Genomic DNA, 21,551 nt, shown 5'->3' on the forward strand with positions numbered 1-21,551 from the left:
GCATTTAAAAATACATCTTAATAGAACTATTACAGTAGCGTGCATGGCTGAGTTTTCTAAATTGCATTCTGCAAGTCTCATTTTTATTTATGTCAAATTGAAAATACAAATTGTAAATACAAATGAAACTTCTGTGGTCTGAATGTTTGTGTCTTTCCAACACTCTTAAGTTGAAATTCTAACCCCCAAAAAAACTTACCACGGGAGGAGACAAGATGGCCGAATAGGAACAGCTCCGGTCTACAGCTCCCAGCGTGAGCGACGCAGAAGACTGGTGATTTCTGCATTTCCATCTGAGGTACCGGGTTCATCTCACTAGGGAGTGCCAGACAGTGGGCGCAGGTCAGTGCGTGCGCGCACCATGCGCGAGTCGAAGCAGGGCGAGGCATTGCCTCACTCGGGAAGCGCAAGGGGTCAGGGAGTTCCCTTTCCGAGTCAAAGAAAGGGGTGATGGACGGCACCTGGAAAGTCGGGTCACTCCCACCCGAATACTGCGCTTTTCTGATGGGCTTAAAAAACGGCGCACCACGAGATTATATCCTACACCTGGCTCGGAGGGTCCTACACCCACGGAGTCTCGCTGATTGCTAGCACAGCAGTCTGAGATCAAACTGCAAGCGGCAGCTAGGCTGGGGGAGGGGCGCCCGCCATTGCCCAGGCTTGCTTAGGTAAACAAAGCAGCAGGGAAGCTCCAACTGGGTGGAGCCCACCACAGCTCAAGGAGGCCTGCCTGCCTCTGTAGGCTCCACCTCTGGGGGCAGGGCACAGACAAACAAAAAGCAGTAACCTCTACAGACTTAAATGTCCCTGTCTGACAGCTTTGAAGAGAGCAGTGGTTCTCCCAGCACGCAGCTGGAGATCTGAGAACCTGCAGACTGCCTCCTCAAGTGGGTCCCTGACCCCTGACCCCTGAGCAGCCTAACTGGGAGGCACCCCCCAGCAGGGGCACACTGACACCTCACACGGCAGGGTATTCCAACAGACCTGCAGCTGAGGGTCATGTCTGTTAGAAGGAAAATTAACAAACAGAAAGGACATCCACACCAAAAACCCATTTGTACATCACCATCATCAAAGACCAAAAGTAGATAAAACCACAAAGATGGGGAAAAAACAGAACAGAAAAACTGGAAACTCTAGAAAGCAGAGCGCCTCTCCTCCTCCAAAGGAACGCAGTTCCTCACCAGCAACGGAACAAAGCTGGATGGAGAATGACTTTGACGAGCTGAGAGAAGAAGGCTTCAGACGATCAAATTACTCTGAGCTACGGGAGGACATTCAAACCAAAGGCAAAGAAGTTGAAAACTTTGAAAAAAATTTAGAAGAATGTACAACTAGAATAACCAATACAGAGAAGTGCTTAAAGGAGCTGATGGAGCTGAAAACCAAGGCTTGAGAACTACGTGAAGAATGCAGAAGCCTCAGGAGCCGATGCGATCAACTGGAAGAAAGGGTATCAGCGATGGAAGATGAAATGAATGAAATGAAGAGAGAAGGGAAGTTTAGAGAAAAAAGAATAAAAGAAATGAGCAAAGCCTCCAAGAAATATGGGACTATGTGAAAAGACCAAATCTACGTCTGATTGGTGTACCTGAAAGTGATGGGGAGAATGGAACCAAGTTGGAAAACACTCTGCAGGATATTATCCAGGAGAACTTCCCCAATCTAGCAAGGCAGGCCAACGTTCAGATTCAGGAAATACAGAGAACGCCACAAAGTTACTCCTTGAGAAGAGCAACTCCAAGACACATAATTGTCAGATTCACCAAAGTTGAAATGAAGGAAAAAATGTTAAGGGCAGCCAGAGAGAAAGGTCGGGTTACCCTCAAAGGGAAGTGCATCAGACTAACAGCGGTTCTCTCGGCAGAAACCCTACAAGCCAGAAGAGAGTGAGGGCCAATATTCAACATTCTTAAAGACAAGAATTTTCAACCCAGAATTTCATATCCAGCCAAACTAAGCTTCATAAGCGAAGGAAAAATACAATCCTTTACAGACAAGCAAATGCTGAGAGATTTTGTCACCACCAGGCCTGCCCTAAAAGAGCTCCTGAAGGAAGCACTAAACATGGAAAGGAACAACTGGTACCAGCCACTGCAAAATCATGCCAAAATGTAAAGACCATCAAGACTAGGAAGAAACTGCATCAACTAACGAGCAAAATCACCAGCTAACATCATAATGACAGGATCAAATTCACACATAACAATATTAACTTTAAATGTAAATGGACTAAATGCTCCAATTAAAAGACACAGACTGGCAAATTGGATAAAGAGTCAAGACCCATCAGTGTGCTGTATTCAGGAAACCCATATCACGTGCAGAGACACACATAGGCTCAAAATAAAAGGATGGAGGAAGATCTACCAAGCAAATGGAAAACAAAAAAAGGCAGGGGTTGCAATACTAGTCTCTGATAAAACACACTTTAAACCAACAAAGATCAAAAGAGACAAAGAAGGCCATTGCATAATGGTAAAGGGATCAATTCAACAAGAAGAGCTAACTATACTAAATATATATGCACCCAATACAGGAGAACCAAGATTCATAAAGCAAGTCCTGAGTGACATACAAAGAGACTTAGACTCCCACACATTAATAATGGGAGACTTTAACACCCCACTGTCAACATTAGACGGATCAACGAGACAGAAAGTCAACAAGGATACCCAGGAATTGAACTCAGCTCTGCACCAAGCGGACCTAATAGACATCTACAGAACTCTCCACCCCAAATCAACAGAATATACATTTTTTTCAGCACCACACCACACCTATTCCAAAATTGACCACATACTTGGAAGTAAAGCTCTCCTCAGCAAATGTAAAGGAACAGAGATTATAACAAACTATCTCTCAGACCACAGTGCAATCAAACTAGAACTCAGGATTAAGAATCTCACTCAAAACCGCTCAACTACATGGAAACCGAACAACCTGCTCCTGAATGACTACTGGGTACATAACGAAATGAAGGCAGAAATAAAGACGTTCTTTGAAACCAACGAGAACAAAGACACAACATACCAGAATCTCTGGGACGCATTCAAAGCAGTGTGTAGAGGGAAATTTATAGCACTAAATGCCCACAAGAGAAAGCAGGAAAGATCCAAAATTGACACCCAAACATCACAATTAAAAGAACTAGAAAAGCAAGAGCAAACACATTCAAAAGCTAGCAGAAGGCAAGAAATAACTAAAATCAGAGCAGAACTGAAGGAAATAGAGACACAAAAAACCCTTCAAAAAATTAGTGAATCCAGGAGCTGGTTTTTTGAAAGGATCAACAAAATTGATAGACCGCTAGCAAGACTAATAAAGAAAAAAAGAGAGAAGAATCTAATAGACACAATAAAAAATGATAAAGGGGATATCACCACCGATCCCACAGAAATACAAACTACCATCAGAGAGTACTACAAACACCTCTACGCAAATAAACTAGAAAATCTAGAAGAAATGGATAAATTCCTCGACACATACACTCTCCGAAGACAAAACCGGGAAGAAGTTGAATCTCTGAATAGACCAATAACAGGATCTGAAATTGTGGCAATAATCAATAGCTTACCAACAAAAAAGAGTCCAGGACCAGATGGATTCACAGCTGAATTCTACCAGAGGTACAAGGAGGAACTGGTACCATTCCTTCTGAAACTATTCCAATCAATAGAAAAAGAGGGAATCCTCCCTAACTCATTTTATGAGGCCAGCATCATTCTGATACCAAAGCCAGGCGGAGACACAACAAAAAAAGAGAATTTTAGACCAATATCCTTGATGAACATTGATGCAAAAATCCTCAATAAAATACTGGCAAAACGAATCCAGCAACACATCAAAAAGCTTATCCACCATGATCAAGTGGGCTTCATCCCTGGGATGCAAGGCTGGTTCAATATACGCAAATCAATAAATGTAATCCAGCATATAAACAGAGCCAAAGACAAAAACCACATGATTATCTCAATAGATGCAGAAAAAGCCTTTGAGAAAATTCAACAACCCTTCATGCTAAAAACTCTCAATAAATTAGGTATTGATGGGATGTATTTCTAAATAATAAGAGCTATCTATGACAAACCCACAGCCAATATCATACTGAATGGGCAAAAACTGGAAGCATTCCCTTTGAAAACTGGCACAAGACAGGGATGCCCTCTCTCACCACTCCTATTCAACATAGTGTTGGAAGTTCTGGCCAGGGCAGTTAGGCAGGAGAAGGAAATAAAGGGTATTCAATTAGGAAAAGAGGAAGTCAAATTGTCCCTGTTTGCAGATGACATGATTGTATATCTAGAAAACCCCATTGTCTCAGCCCAAAATCTCCTTAATCTGATAAGCAACTTCAGCAAAGTCTCAGGTTACAAAATCAATGTACAAAAATCACAAGCATTCTTATACACCAGCAACAGACAAACAGAGAGCCAAATCAGGAGTGAACTCCCATTCACAATTGCTTCAAAGAGAATAAAATACCTAGGAATCCAACTTACAAGGGATGTGAAGGACCTCTTCAAGGAGAACTACAAACCACTGCTCAAGGAAATAAAAGAGGATACAAACAAATGGAAGAACATTCCATGCTCATGGGTAGGAAGAATCAATATCGTGAAAATGGCCATACTGCCCAAGGTAATTTACAGATTCAATGCCATCCCCATCAAGCTACCAATGACTTTCTTCACAGAATTGGAAAAAACTACTTTAAAGTTCATATGGAACCAAAAAAGAGCCCGCATCGCCAAGTCAATCCTAAGCCAAAAGAACAAAGCTGGAGGCATCACACTACCTGACTTCAAACTATACTACAAGGCTACAGTAACCAAAACAGCATGGTACTGGTACCAAAACAGAGGTATAGATCAATGGAACAGAACAGAGCCCTCAGAAATAACGCCGCATATCTACAACTATCTGATCTTTGACCAACCTGAGAAAAACAAGCAATGGGGAAAGGATTCCCTATTTAATAAATGGTGCTGGGAAAACTGGCTAGCCATATGTAGAAAGCTGAAACTGGATCCCTTCCTTACACCTTATACAAAAATCAATTCAAGATGGATTAAATACTTAAACATTAGACCTAAAACCATAATAACCCTAGAAGAAAACCTAGGCAATATCATTCAGGACATAGGCATGGGAAAGGACTTCATGTCTAAAACACCAAAAGCAATGGCAACAAAAGACAAAATTGACAAATGGGATCTAATTAAACTAAAGAGCTTCTGCACAGCAAAAGAAACTACCATCAGAGTGAACAGGCAACCTACAAAATGGGAGAAAATTTTTGCAACCTACTCATCTGACAAAGGGCTAATATCCAGAATCTACAATGAACTCCAACAAATTTACAAGAAAAAAACAAACAACCCCATCAAAAAGTGGACGAAGGACATGAAGAGACACTTCTCAAAAGAAGACATTTATGCAGCCAAAAAACACATGAAAAAATGCTCATCATCACTGGCCATCAGAGAAATGCAAATCAAAACCACTATGAGATACCATCTCACACCAGTTAGAAGGGCAATCATTAAAAAGTCAGGAAACAACAGGTGCGGGAGAGGATGTGGAGAAATAGGAACACTTTTACACTGTTGGTGGGACTGTAAACTAGTTCAACCATTGTGGAAGTCAGTGTGGCGATTCCTCAGGGATCTAGAACTGGAAATACCATTTGACCCAGCCATCCCATTACTGGGTATATACCCAAAGGACTATAAATCATGCTGCTAGAAAGACACATGCACACGTATGTTTATTGTGGCATTATTCACAATAGCAAAGACTTGGAACCAACCCAAATGTCCAACAATGATAGACTGGATTAAGAAAATGTGGCACATATACATATACACCATGGAATACTATGCAGCCATAAAAAATGATGAGTTCATGTCCTTTGTAGGGACATGGATGAAACTGGAAAACATCATTCTCAGTAAACTATCGCAAGAACAAAAAACCAAACACCGCATATTCTCACTCATAGGTGGGAATTGAACAATGAGATCACATGGACACAGGAAGGGGAATATCACACTCTGGGGACTGTTGTGGGGTGGGGGGATGGGGGAGGGATAGCATTGGGAGATATACCTAATGCTAGATGACGAGTTAGTGGGTGCAGTGCACCAGCATGGCACATGTATACATATGTAACTAACCTGCACAAAGTGCACATGTACCCTAAAACTTAAAGTATAATAAAAAAAAAAAAAGAAATTCTAACCCCCAATGTGATGGGTATTAGAAGGTGGGGATTTAGCGAATTATTGTCCTTATAAAAAGAAAGCCCAGAGAGATCCCTTGCCCCTTTCACCATGTGAGGACACAGTGAGAAGGCACCATCTGTGGACCAGAAAGCTCTCCCTCACCAGACAGTGAATCTGCAAACACCTTCAGTTTGGACATCTCAGCATCCACAACAATGAGTAATGAATTTCTTTGTTTATAAACTACCCTAGTCTGTGGTAATTTGTTATAGCAGCTCAAATGGACTAAGATAGAACCCTTAAAAACCCAACTATCACATTACATACTTGTTACAAATTGTTTCCCCACTGCCATCATATACAAAGACAGATTAAGCTCTGAGTAAATTTCTGTAACCTTTCATTTTCCTATCCAATCACTGTTCACGATAATTATAAGCAAAGGGGATTACCTAAAGGCAGATAACCAGAGGGAAAATAAGCAAACCAAAAAGAGTGTATAATCTTCATATTAGATTGAATAATTTACAGTTAACAATATATTTTATATTGTGTTTGTAGGTTAACGTTTTTATCTGATAAAATACAGTCCACTCTAAAATAGATAGCTACAGAAGATACATTTTTAAATTAGTAAGATTTATTACTATTATTCACATTGATTTAGTGTAACTTAATGATTTAGGAGAAAAAATCACTTTATATTTTAAATTTTTTTGAAAATATTATACAAAATGGTCTTCATAGCACAAAAATGAGGTTTCAAATTGGTTTTGGTTCATAAAGATGGCTCAATTTTTACAAGTGGGTGTGTTTGTTGACCTGAACAAGAATTGGTTTTGATTCCCTTCACTATAGTTCTCAGGCATTTTTACTTTTGAGAATTCCAAGATGGTCTATGTATTTTCTTAGAAAATGAGGTTGGCAAATAAGTCACTAACTCAGTTTGTACACTGCAAATTGATAGAAAAGTAACAGTTTCTATTTATCACCTAATTTCCTCTTTAGTTTTCAATAAAATGAAAAAGTGAGCAGATTCATTCAGCAAAAGATTAAAATACATTCCCAAGTAGACCTACAGGAAAATCTAATTTATAGAAAATACAACATTAGCCTCTTTAATTCTTAAAAGACTAGCCATAATTTCAAGTAGTCAGTTCACTGATGCATACACATTTTTGGCTCAGGATATATGATTACTCACCTCATATGATTGTGTGGCTTGACTTTGGCTGGCTTACTTTCAATCGTTGCAGAAACATTAATATCCAGAAGTTAGTTGGAGAGTAACATATGCCAACTAGGTATGAGGTAGTTTGTCAATAATCTTGTAACTTTCCACAATATAACCTCACCATCCTTTTATATTGACAGTTTTTGATTACAGAAATGAATTGAAATTTTTTTCTGAAGGCAATTCATCTTGGTTCTGCATACTAAAAACCAGCAAGGTAATGCGGTGCAAAGTTACATGCCACCTCATGATTAAAGGAGTTTAATTCAAAATGTCCAAAGCAAACTTTTAATAGCACAAACAAAATCATATGTTCAAATGTCATGGACTTTGACAACTTTTCTCTCCACCGTGCCAAGATAATGGACTTTGAAGCCACAGAGACATGGCTCCATCATTTGCTAACTGTGGGATCTTTGTGAAACTTAACCTCCAGAACTTCATTTCCTTACTGGTAAAGTGGGGTGAAGGGTTCACAGAATTACTGGCAACTGTAAAATGAGCTAAAGAGATGAGGGGAGACCTGAACCATTGCATGGCATATATGGACGCCCAGTAAATGTCAATTTCACTTTCCTTATCTCCAAAATACTTTAGTAATATGCCTTTAATTGTAATTTTGACCTTGCATTTTACATAAACCCCTAAGTCTGAGGTACTTTTACAATTTGGATACCAATCTTTCCAATAAAGTTGACTGCTATCTCTTCTGTGTAATTTCAACAGCAACAGAAAGTCCCCCTGACTTTAAAAGCATTTCTGTTTGCTCTGCTCATGCCTGAAGCTTCTTTTACCAAGAATAAAGGCATTTATTCTATAATTATAGATAAACTAAAAATATAAATTCCCTGTAGAGAGATAACACCATGACTTAAATTCACACCAGCTTTTAGAGGACTGATAACAGAGAGTTTTCTTTGATTAATTGGGGGAGAGCAGAGGTGAACATGCAGGAGAAGTGCAATGTGGTAACCTGGGCCGGAAGAGAGTCCACAGAGGGAGGAAAATGATCTCAAAATAAGGACAAAGTCAAAGACAATTTTCAACAACCACACAAGTTTTTTCTCCAGACCAGACCCTGCAAAAGGAGATATGATTGACATCACAATGGCTTTTTCAGAAAACAACTTTTTGTCTAATAGTGGTAGAGAATCCAGTTTAAATTACAGGTGTACATTACTGATCAGACCAAGGCATTTATATGATTGGAGATGGTAACACTAGACATATGTCCACAGTGGGATAGACTCTGCTCACAGGCGCTGCTGGTAGGTAGAGCGGTGTGTGTCTTTAACATTCACTTGGTGTTATCACTTGATGTTTCCAGACCTGATTTCCCCATGGTTTGAGGAATAAATAAACTATTGAGAGTAATTTAAAGAGAAGCCACAGAAAGTATTAAGTATCAAGGTTTTCAAACCAATTGGTGTTTCTAACCCCTTACCCTATGGAATGGCTAGGGGTTCCACTGGATGCTCTAAAATTATTCTGGACACACCAAGCAGTCAACAACAACAACAAAGAAACAAAGGGAGGAAGAGTTTTTTTCTGTTTTCAGCCCAACATCAATGGCTCTTTGTGTCATGCTTCAGCCCAAGACACATAACCCGCTGCTTTTGTCAGGTCCATAGCCTAGTGGGAAAATATCAGGTGATTTAAGCAAATTCTGAAAGCACCAAACTGTCAGACTTGAGTATTTATGGTCTTTGATTGCAAACTTACAAAGAACAGAGACCATGTATATATTCTGAACCAGCATCCTATGCATATACAGGGATTATTAAACGATAATATTTTATTGTAGAAGGCATTTAAATGTCCTCTCTGACTGTCAGGCTAAGGTACTTAAACTGTAATGCACATTTTGTCTTCATTCTGAAGTCAGTGCCTTCCTGGTGGTAAAATATTCTTCCTCATACCTCCCTCACTGAAGTTAATAAAACCTTAGTCGTCCTTTAGAACGAGGCTAAATACAATTTCGTCTTAAAGCATTTCTCTGGTTATTCTGGGCAACACTTAAACTTCTTTTATAATTAAAGACAGTATGATGAGCTAGTACTTTACATTCTCATTTTTTTCCCTTGTGTTAGTCTTGATTTTAGAACCTTTTCCTCAGCTGTGTTGTCAGTTCACACGGTGAGGACCATGCCTTATCATTCTGATACCAAGCCCATTTCCATTTATTCTTATCTCATGGTATATGATTTTTTAAAGTAATTTGATTAATTGAAATTTTGTTAGATTATTAAAATCCACATGTCACCATTTGTTAGAGACACAATATTGTGTCGCCCCAAAATTCATATTTTGAAACTCTAACCCCCCAGTGTGACTACATTCGGAGACAGGGCCTGTGAGGAGCTAGGAAAAGTTAAATGAAGTTGTAAGGGTGAGACCCTTATCTGATAGGACTGATGTCCTTATAAACGGAAAAAACACTGGAGCACTTCCTCTTCACCATATGCGCGAAGGTGGCCATCTGCAAGTCAGAAAGAGAACCCTCACCAGAAACAGACCCTGTTGATCCTTGATGTGGGAACTTTTAGCCTTCAGAACTGTCAGAAAATAAATTTCTGTTTTTTAAGCTACTTAGACTCTAGTCTATGATATTTTGTTATGGTAGCCTAAGCCTACTAATACATCACTAAAATCTTAAAAAAAAAAACGCCTGATTCAAGGAAGCAATATGCAAATCCAATAGACATGTTTTCAATTTAGAGAACGAACTGTGTTCACAGCCATAAGAAGTCCATTTTTTGTTTTAATAGTGCAAAGAAATAAAACATTTGCACAATTCTAGTGGAAACTTTTGCCTTGCACTTTCGGCAATGTAGTGGCAATCTTAGAAAAAGACCATAAAAAGAACTAAATAAATTCCTTATAAATTTAGAATGAAAAACGAAGTCAAAATAAATATTTTAAAAACAAAACCACTAATTTTAAAGTAATAAAAATCACTACATAATAGTTGCTTTGCTTAAAAACAACTTTATAGTAAAGCTCCTGTAAGCAGTGCCTCTCAGATGCTGGCATTAATCAACAAAGTCTAAGATTGCATTGGAGCCCCTAGCTTAACAGTTTTTGGCCACCAATAGGGGGCAGCAAGGCACACCAGATCCCTCAGTGACACTTGAGGGAGGCTTGCCAGGTTAGCTAGGAAGTGTCTAGGAGGCATGGCAACATCAGATATGCAGAAAAAGAAATCCATACATCAGATAAGGCACTAGTAGGAGGAGATAGTGAGAATACACAGATCAAAATTTCATTCACGCCAATGGAAAGCATGGAGTGGAACTGAGATGTTTATGCTTCTAGAAATCGTATGTGTCAGCATCTCTTAATTCTACTAAATCTGACAAAATCATCCATAATGTTTAGAATTCTTCTGTCCTGATTTCTCATAGTTAAAACTAAGTGCTTTTTCTTTTTCTTCTACTCAATTCCTTTAAGCCTGCATGGAAAGTAGCTCCACAACATCTTAAAGAGTACATTGGCCTATAATAAAGGGTAGGTTGACTGTTTTTCTCCCCAGAAAAGAGAAGAATTTTCAGTATTCCATAATTGCAGAAAAATACTTTGGTCCAAAAGTAGACTAGTCTTGCCTATCAGAATGTGCCCAGAGAGCTAGGTCCTGAAAGCAATTAAACCTAGTTCTAAAAGATCTTGAGCATAAGAAAATTGGAACTGTTTGTTTAATTCCTTACTAGATATTACATTGACATGCCTTTAGAGTTACTATGCATTTGATAAATATAGGAAAAGACAGTAAATATTTTGCTGATTAGTCAAAAATATATGGGCTGATAGATTGATTTCCTCACTTCAGCCACAAAGTAAAGAACTTCCAGCCTTCCCAATTTATAGAGCAAATTTTAGAATGTTTCTGTGCAGAATGTTTTACAGAGAGTGATAACGAAAAGGAGCTCAGAGCTTATTTTCTGTAGGATGTATGTACAGCTCTGACTCAGACCTAAGTATGGAATAGAACACTCCTTGCTCTTTCTCCACTGAGCAAAGTCCAAATGTTGATCATGTTAGAAGAATCAACTTCTTCTAACGCAGGTGGGCACCATCCAATCTAATCTGTTGAGAATGAGAATTAACAAATTGGCAGAGGAAAGGCAAATGTGCTCTCTCTCCTTAAACTGGGACATTCATTTTCTCCTGCCCTCAGACATCAGTGCGCCTGGTTTTTGGATCTTCAAACTCAAACTGGGACTTATGCCATTGGCTCACCTGGTTCTGAGGCCTCTGGTTTTGGACCAGACCTATACCACTGGCTTTCTTGTCCTCCAGCTTACAGACAAGACAGCAGATTCTGGAACTTAGCCTCCATACTTGTGTGAGCCAATTCCTCGTAATAAATCTTTGTCTATCTGTTTGTATATCTACGTACCTATCCCATTATTTGTTTCTCTGGAGAACCCTGAATAATACAAATATGCTACCTTTTCTGATTTCTTTTTTCTTTTTTTTTTTTTTTTGGTAGAAGGAAGGGCTTTATTCAGCTGGGAACATCAGTAAGCTACTGCCTTAAAATCCGAGCTCCCCGAGTGCACAATTTCTGTCCCTTTTAAGGGCTCACAACACTAAAGATTTCACATGAAAGGGTCGTGATTGATTTATTATTATTATTATTATACTTAAAGTTTTAGGGTACATGTGCACAACATGCAGATTTGTTATATATGTATACATGTGCCATGTTGATGTGCTGCACCCATTAACTGGTCATTTAGCATTAGGTATATCTCCTAATGCTATCCCTCCCCCCTCCCCCCACCCCACAACAGTCCCCGTTGTGTGATGTTCCCCTTCCTGTGTCCATGTGTTCTCATTGTTCAATTCCCAACTATGAGTGAGAACATGCGGTGTTTGGTTTTTTGTTCTTGCGAGAGTTTGCTGAGAATGATAGTTTCCGGCTTCATCCATGTCCCTAAAAAGGACATGAACTCATCACTTTTTATGGCTGCATAGTATTCCATGGTGTATATGTGCCACATTTTCTTAATCCAGTCTATCATTGTTGGACATTTGGATTGGTTCCAAGTCTTTGCTATTGTGAATAGTGCCGCAATAAATATACCTGTGCATGTGTCTTTATAGCAGCATGATTTATAATCCTTTGGGTATATACCCAGTAATGGGATGGCTGGGTCAAATGGTATTTCTAGTTCTAGATCCCTGAGGAATCGCCACACTGACTTCCACAATGGTTGAACTAGTTTACAGTCCCACCAACAGTGTAAAAGTGTTCCTATTTCTCCACATCCTCTCCAGCACCTGTTGTTTCCTCACTTTTTAATGATTGCCATTCTAACTGGTGTGAGATGGTATCTCATTGTGGTTTTGATTTGCATTTCTCTGATGGCCAGTGATGGTGAGCATTTTTTCATGTGTTTTTTGGCTGCATAAATGTCTTCTTTTGAGAAGTGTCTGTTCATATCCTTCGCCCACTTTTTGATGGGGTTGTTTGTTTTTTTCTTGTAAATTTGTTTGAGTTCATTGTAGATTCTGGATATTAGCCCTTTGTCAGATGAGTAGGTTGCAAAAATTTTCTCCCACTCTGTAGGTTGCCTGTTCACTCTGATGGTAGTTTCTTTTGCTGTGCAGAAGCTCTTTAGTTTAATTAGATCCCATTTGTCAATTTTATCTTTTGTTGCCATTGCTTTTGGTGTTTTAGACATGAAGTCCTTGCCCATGCCTATGTCCTGAATGGTATTGCCTAGGTTTTCTTCTGGGGTTTTTATGGTTTTAGGTCTAACATGTAAGTCTTTAATCCATCTTGAATTAATTTTTGTATAAGGTGTAAGGAAGGGATCCAGTTTCAGCTTTCTACATATGGCTAGCCAGTTTTCCCAGCACCATTTATTAAATAGGGAATCCTTTCCCAATTGCTTGTTTTTCTCAGGTTTGTCAAAGATCAGATAGTTGTAGATATGCGGCATTATTTCTGAGGGCTCTGTTCTGTTCCATTGGTCTATATCTCTGTTTTGGTACCAGTACCATGCTGTTTTGGTTACTGTAGCCTTGTAGTATAGTTTGAAGTCAGGTAGTGTGATGCCTCCAGCTTTGTTCTTTTGGCTTAGGATTGACTTGGCGATGCGGGCTCTTTTTTGGTTCCATATGAACTTTAAAGTAGTTTTTTCCAATTCTGTGAAGAAAGTCATTGGTAGCTTGATGGGGATGGCATTGAATCTATAAATTACCTTGGGCAGTATGGCCATTTTCACGATATTGATTCTTCCTACCCATGAGCATGGAATGTTCTTCCATTTGTTTGTATCCTCTTTTATTTCCTTGAGCAGTGGTTTGTAGTTCTCCTTGAAGAGGTCCTTCACATCCCTTGTAAGTTGGATTCCTAGGTATTTTATTCTCTTTGAAGCAATTGTGAATGGGAGTTCACTCATGATTTGGCTCTTTGTTTGTCTGTCATTGGTGTATAAGAATGCTTGTGATTTTTGCACATTGATTTTGTATCCTGAGACTTTGCTGAAGTTGCTTAAGGAGATTTTGGGCTGATACGATGGGGTTTTCTAGATATACAATCATGTCATCTGGAAACAGGGACAATTTGACTTCCTCTTTTCCTAATTGAATGCCCTTTATTCCCTTCTCCTGTCTAATTGCCCTGGCCAGAACTTCCAACACTATGTTGAATAGGAGTGGTGAGAGAGGGCATCCCTGTCTTGTGCCAGTTTTCAAAGGGAATGCTTCCAGTTTTTGTCCATTCAGTATGATATTGGCCGTGGGTTTGTCACAGATAGCTCTTATTATTTTGAGTTATGTCCCATCAATACCTAATTTATTGAGAGTTTTTAGCATGAAGGGTTGTTAAATTTCCTCAAAGGCCTTTTCTGCATCTATTGAGATAATGATGTGGTTTTTGTCGTTGGTTCTGTTTATATGCTGGATTACATTTATTGATTTGCATATGTTGAACCAGCCTTGCATCCCAGGGATGAAGCCCACTTGATCATGGTGGATAAGCTTTTTGATGTGTTGCTGGATTCAGTTTGCCAGTATTTTATTGAGGATTTTTGATTCAATGTTCATCAAGGATATTGGTCTAAAATTCTCTTTTTTTGTTGTGTCTCTGCCAGGCTTTGGTATCAGGATGATGCTGGCCTCACAAAATGATTTAGGGAGGATTCCCTCTTTTTCTATTGATTGGAATAGTTTCAGAAGGAATGGTACCAGTTCCTCCTTGTACCTCTGGTAGAATTCGGCTGTGAATCTATCTGATCCCGGACTTTTTTGGTTGGTAAGCTATTAATTATTGCCTCAATTTCAGAGCCTGTTATTGGTCTATTCAGAGATTCAACTTCTTCCTGGTTTAGTCTTGGGAGGGTGTATGTCTCCAGGAATTTATCCATTTCTTCTAGATTTTCTAGTTTATTTGCGTAGAGGTGTTTATAGTATTCTCTGATGGTAGTTTGTATTTCTGTGGGATCGGTGGTGATATCCCCTTTGTCATTTTTTATTGCGTCTATTAGATTCTTCTCTCTTTTCTTCTTTATTAGTCTTGCTGGCGGTCTATCAATTTTGTTGATCTTTTCAAAAAACCAGCTCCTGGATTCACTGATTTTTTGAAGGGTTTTTTGTGTCTCTATTTCCTTCAGTTCTGCTCTGATCTTAGTTATTTCTTGCCTTCTGCTAGCTTTTGAATGTGTTTGCTCTTGCTTCTCTAGTTCTTTTAATTGTGATGTTAGGGTGTCAATCTTAGATCTTTCCTGCTTTCTCTTGTGGGCATTTAGTGCTATAAATTTCCCTCTACACACTGCTTTGAATGCGTCCCAGAGATTCTGGTATGTTGTGTCTTTGTTCTCATTGGTTTCAAAGAACGTCTTTATTTCTGCTTTCATTTCGTTATGTACCCAGTAGTCATTCAGGAGCAGGTTGTTCGGTTTCCATGTAGTTGAGCAGTTTTGAGTGAGTTTCTTAATCCTGAGTTCTAGTTTGATTGCACTGTGGTCTGAGAGACAGTTTGTTATAATTTCTGTTCTTTTACATTTGCTGAGGAGTGCTTTACTTCCAAGTATGTGGTCAATTTTGGAATAGATGTGGTGTGGTGCTGAAAATAATGTATATTCTGTTGATTTGAGGTGGAGAGTTCTGTAGATGTCTATTAGGTCCGCTTGGTGCAGAGCTGTGTTCAATTCCTGGATACCCTTGTTAACTTTCTGTCTCATTGATCAGTCTAATATTGACAGTGGGGTGTTAAAGTCTCCCATTGTTATCGTGTGGGAGTCTAAGTCTCTTTGTACATCACTAAGGACTTGCTTTATGAATCTGTGTGCTCCTGTATTGGGTGCATATATATTTAGAATAGTTAGTTCTTGTTGAATTGATCCCTTTACCATTATATAATGGTCTTCTTTGTCTCTTTTGATCTTTGTTGGTTTAAAGTTTGTTTTATCCGAGACTAGGATTGCAATCCCTGCATTTTTTTGTTTTCCATTTGCGTGGTAGATCTTCCTCCATCCCTTTATTTTGAGCCTATGTGTGTCTCTGCACGTGATATGGGTTTCCTGAATACAGCACACTGATGGGTCTTGACTCTTTATCCAATTTGCCAGTCCTTGCCTTTTAATTGGAGCATTTAGCCCATTTACATTTAAGGTTAGTATTGTTATGTGTGAATTTAATCCTGTCATTATGATGTTAGCTGGTGATTTTGCTTGTTAGTTGATGCAGTTTCTTCCTAGCCTTGATGGTCTTTACAATTTGGCATGTTTTTGCAGTGGCTGGTACTGGTTTTTCCTTTCCATGTTTAGTGCTTCCTTCAGGAGCTCTTTTAGGGCAGGCCTGGTGGTGACAAAATCTCTCAGCATTTGCTTGTCTGTAAAGGATTGTATTTCTCCTTCACTTATGAAGCTTAGTTTGGCTGGATATGAAATTCTGGTTTGAAAATTCTTGTCTTTAAGAATGTTGAGGCCGGGCGCGGTGGCTCACGCCTGTAATCCCAGCACTTTGGGAGGCCGAGGCGGGCGGATCACGAGGTCAGGAGATCGAGACCATCCCGGCTAAAACGGTGAAACCCCGTCTCTACTAAAAATACAAAAAATTAGCCGGGCATAGTGGCGGGCGCCTGTAGTCCCAGCTACTTGGGAGGCTGAGGCAGGAGAATGGCGTGAACCCGGGAGGCGGAGCTTGCAGTGAGCCGAGATCCCGCCACTGCACTCCAGCCTGGGCGACAGAGCGAGACTCCCGTCTCAAAAAAAAAAAAAAAAAAAAAGAAAGAATGTTGAATATTGGCCCCCACTCTCTTCTGGCTTTTAGAGTTTCTTCTGAGAGATCAGCTGTTAGTCTGATGGGCTTCCCTTTGTTTGTGGGTAACCCCACCTTTCTCTCTGGCTGCCCTTAACATTTTTTCCTTCATTTCAACTTTGGTGAATCTGACAATTATGTGTCTTGGAGTTGCTCTTCTCGAGGAGTATCTTTGTGGTGTTCTCTGTATTTCCTGAATTTGAATGTTGGCCTGCCTTGCTAGATTGGGGAAGTTCTCCTGGATAATATCTGCAGAGTGTTTTCCAACTTGGTTCCATTCTCCCTGTCACTTTCAGGTACACCAATGAGATGTAGATTTGGTCTTTTCACATAGTCCCATATTTCTTGGAGGCTTTGTTCATTTCTTTTTATTCTTTTTTCTTCTAAACTTCTCTTCTCACTTCATTTCATTCATTTCGTCTTCTATCGCTGATACCCTTTCTTCCAGTTGATCGCATCATTTACTGAGGCTTGTGCATTCGTCACATAGTTCTCATGCCGTGGTTTTTAGCTCCATCAGGTCCTTTAAGTACTTCTCTGCATTGGTTATTCTAGTTATCCATTCATCTAATTTTTTTTTCAAAGTTTTTAACTTCTTTGCCATTGGTTTGTACTTCCTGCTTTAGCTCAGAGTAGTTTCATCTTCTGTAGCCTTCTTCTCTCTACTTGTCAAAGTCATTCTCCGTCCAGCTTTGTTCCGTTGCTGGTGAGGAGCTGCATTCCTTTGGAGGAGGAGAGGCACTCTGATTTTTAGAGTTTCCAGTTTTTCTGCTCTGTTTTTTCCCCATCTTTGTGGTTTTATCTACCTTTGGTCTTTGATGACAGTGATGTACAGATGGGTTTTTGGTGTGGATGTCCTTTCTGTTTGTTAGTTTTCCTGCTAACAGACAGGACCCTCAGCTGCAGGTCTGTTGGAGTTTTCTGGAGGTCCACTCCAGACCCTATTTGCCTGGGTATCAGCAGCAGTGGCTGCAGGACAGCAGATATTGGTGAACCGCAAATGCTGCCGTCTGATCGTTCGTCTGGAAGATTTGTCTCAGAGGAGTACCCGGCCGTGTGAGGTGTCAGTCTCCCCTACTGGGGGGTGCCTCCCAGTTAGACTACTCAGGGGTTAGGAACCCACTTGAGGAGAGAGTCTGCCCGTTCTCAGATCTCAAGCTGCGTGCTGGGAGAACCACTATTCTCTTCAAAGCTGTCAGACAGGGACATTTAAGTCTGCAGAGGTTATTGCTGTCTTTTGTTTGTCTGTGCCCTGCCCCTAGAGGTGGAGCCTACAGAGGCAGGCAGGCCTCCTTGAGCTGTGGTGGGCTCCACCCAGTTTGAGCTTCCAGGCCTCTTTGTTTACCTGCTTAAGCCTGGGCAATGGCGGGCGCCCCTCCCCCAGCCTTGCTGCAGCCTTGCAGTTTGATCTCAAACTCCTGTGCTAGCAGTGAGCGAGGCTCTGTGGGTGTAGGACCCTCCGAGCCAGGTGAAGGATATAAGCTCCTGATGTGCCGTGTGTTAAACCTGTTGGAAGAGCACAGTATTAGGGTGGGAGTGACCCGATTTTCCAGGTGCCTTCTGTCACCCCTTTCTTTGACTAGGAAAGGGAATTCCCTGACCCCATGTGCTTCCCGGGTGAGGTGATGCCTCGCTCTGCTTTGGCTCATGCATGGTGTGCTGCACCCACTGTCCTGCACCCACTGTCGGGCACTCCCCAGTGAGATGAACCCGGTACCTCAGTTGGAAATGCAGAAATCACCCGTCTTCTGTGTCGCTCACGCTGGGAGCTGTAGACTGGAGCTCTTCCTATTTGGCCATCTTGGCTCCACCACCTTTTCTGATTTCTGACCATCTTAAGTCTCAGGAACATGAGCAAACTCTTCTGTTGGGATTAAGAAAAAAGATTTCCCTTCAAGACTTGATTTTAGCCTACAGTGAATTTTTATGACCAAGTTATTAACCCCTGAAAAATGGGATATATAATGGAAACACTGATAGATTCTTAATGTTAGCTGTGCTGGCAGGCACCTATATATTAGCCTTAATAGTGTCAAATTGTGAAACTAAAGTGATTGAAAACCTACTAACTTACACTTAAGGAATCCCTGCTTCAATAGGTTTTGATATCTCCCTCATTTGAATGATTTTTCAGGCTGTTTTAAAGACTAGTGTCCTGTATTTGTGAGAATGAGAGTTACAATACTATAGGATTTTGTGAACATCATAAACTTAGAACAGCATATTCATTCCTGAATGGCTCAAGACTCAGTGCTTTTTTTTCCTATGTAGGAAATTTACCTGCATAAAAATCTTGAGTTATCCAGCCATAAATTCTATAGCCTGAAGTCTTTCTTCTTTACCTCCCATTTTTATGCATTTTATTCATTTTTCTATTGGCTCATTGAACAGCTGAAGGGGATAACAATGTAATTTCATGAACAGTGACCAAAAAGAGAAGAAAATATCCTTGACTTGGGCAGATAAGTGGGCTCTTCACACTGTAATATTACAGCTTGAACCCAGACTTTCACTGGCTTGATCTCATTACATAAGCTATTCCCTGCAACTGTCTTCTGCTATGGCTTCTTCATGTGACCTGACAGCCCATATACAGATGTAGCAGTAAATACACGCTGCCAATGCTAAACAAAAAAATTCCCTATCGTCATGTTTATCAGGATAAATGTGTTGCCAGATGCATTCTTCCTGAGTTGATATTAACAGAGCATGGCAAATGTCATCTCTTCTTCCTCAAGGGGTTCTTCTGAAGCCCTCATTTGGCATTTGAAAACATTGAACATGGTTGGATAGACCCAGATGCATTCTCTAACAGAACTTATAGAAACATGGAGAATAGCTTCATCCTATCAAGTATTATATTATTTTAAGGCTATTCGGACATGAGGTAGAAAAATCAAAATACTTTCACCCTGAACCAACTGTTATACACAGCACAACAAGAAAAAACAAATTGGTCATTACAGAAAATTTGGAAATCCCCTGCTTAAGGGCCTTGGGGACATGGGAAGCCATTTGTCACTGATTGTTGTGTTTTTCAAGAACAATTAGAGCAAAATCATATAAACATCATGGATTGAGAAATATAATGCTGGTCCTTATTTCAGATGTATGTGTTTAAAAATCACACACAACAGATATAGAAAATAGCAATAGTACCAGGATGCAAGAAGTATGTTTATGCAGCTCCATTACAAATACTATCCTAAACAGAATTTGCATGGATGGAGTTTTCCCATATCCTTTATAAGCTACTAGGAACAATGCAAGAATTTCAAGTAACCACCCAGCTTTCCATTTTCCATCACTGAAATGCTTTACTCTTTGCATATAAACTTCTAGCTGTGGCTGACGGCTGTAAGCCCATTATATTTCAACTGTCATCTGGCAGCGGAGATTCAATCCATTGCTTCAATCACAGTGGCCTGTCTTCTCTAGCTCTGGGAATTACACTAAAGTGCATGATTTAAATGTCTTCACTGTCAAATTATTGTTGTTTAGTTCATCAAGATAGATTTTTAAAACTCATGGGAAAAATATGCCCTAAAAAGTATTGTTTTGTTATAGGAAAGAAAAGTATTTCAAAATCAACAGTTGCTCAAAGGTCTCAAATTAGTTTTATTCATAATGCTAGGGTTTCCTAAATGTGAGGTAACAGAATAATAATTACCAAATAAGCCAAATGCTTAATGTGTAAAAGGCCCACTTCAAATATTTTGGTAGGAAAACATAGTGTTTTGAATAATTGGAAGTTTATCAACTCTTTGCCTGTTAGTTCATTGCCCTCCCAAGATCATTTCTCATTCATTTTGTACTACATTTGTTGGGCAAGTGCTCTGCACCAGACATTGTGCAAGGCAGTGGGAACAAGATAAACAAGACAGAGTCTCTGCCTTCTAGGAACTAGTAAAAGTAAGAGAACAGGCTTTGATTTATGACACTGTAAGTCATTATTTCTTTGTCACAAAAAGAAAACACAGCTACCTGACAGTGGAGAACCAGGAAAAAACATGGTAGCCAACTTTGTACAATCATGCCAGGTTTCTTTTAGGTTTCCCTACGCACCACAGCATACACCACCAGAGGATGCCTACAGTTGCTCTCAACCTTTTATTTACCCAGATATGCCTGAGGGGTGTGACAAACTTCCATCAGTAATTGCAACTCATTTTGGCAGTAACTTTCAAGGCAGGCAAGTGTGCAGAAATGGGTAATGGGAAAGTATCAGAGGACATAGAAAACTCTGTGTTTGGGAAAGGCCCAGAGCTGGTTTATATTGCGCCCTTCATTTCCCTTAAGAACCACTAAGAGGTCTACCATGCAGAATTAAGCTGTGCAAGTGGGACGAGTTTCCATGTGTGCCCTGTATAATTAAGAAAGGTGATTAAGAAGCTAACTATGAAGCATAAGTATAAATTGATCCACTTACCCTCTCCACTCCAGGGAACCCATGCTTTCTATTTGAGAAAAGCAGATTCCCTCTTATCTCCTCATATGACTCTTCTACCTAAGTTTTTTGGCTCTAATATTTTCCTGGGCTTTACTAAGAACAATGCAGACAATTTTCAGATTTGGGATTTGGAAATTCTTATTCCACTTCTGGAAGCACTCCCGCAGAATATCTGACAAAGCCCAGAAGTTTACATAAGCCAGATCTCTAGGGCTAGTGAGAGAATAAGACTCACCTAGACATAACTACAAAATGGAAGCTCAAATACATCTGAGTAGACATATAGATGAAGGACTGAAAAAGGTATAGAAGAAGGGGCTGAAGCTATCATAAGTTACTGCATTTAGTTATTAAATTCTCATCTCCCCAT

The 21,551-nt window shown here is 39.9% G+C and overlaps 2 long non-coding RNA genes across 6 annotated transcripts in view; one reads left to right on the top strand and one right to left on the bottom strand.

Annotated features, from left to right (window-relative positions):
• The window catches only part of LINC00491 (long intergenic non-protein coding RNA 491), a 62,973-nt gene extending 62,536 nt beyond the window's left edge, over positions 1–437 (bottom strand). For all 4 annotated transcript variants that reach the window (NR_103756.1, NR_103755.1, NR_103754.1 and 1 more), the window contains exon 1: positions 200–437. This is a non-coding gene — a long non-coding RNA (long intergenic non-protein coding RNA 491). The remainder of the gene's footprint in view (positions 1–199) is intronic.
• The window catches only part of LOC105379104 (uncharacterized), a 62,441-nt gene that overhangs the window by 6,881 nt on the left and 34,009 nt on the right, over positions 1–21,551 (top strand). The window lies entirely within an intron of this gene.

Source organism: Homo sapiens, chromosome 5 (assembly GCF_000001405.40).
Source record: "Homo sapiens chromosome 5, GRCh38.p14 Primary Assembly".
NCBI lineage: Eukaryota > Metazoa > Chordata > Mammalia > Primates > Hominidae > Homo > Homo sapiens.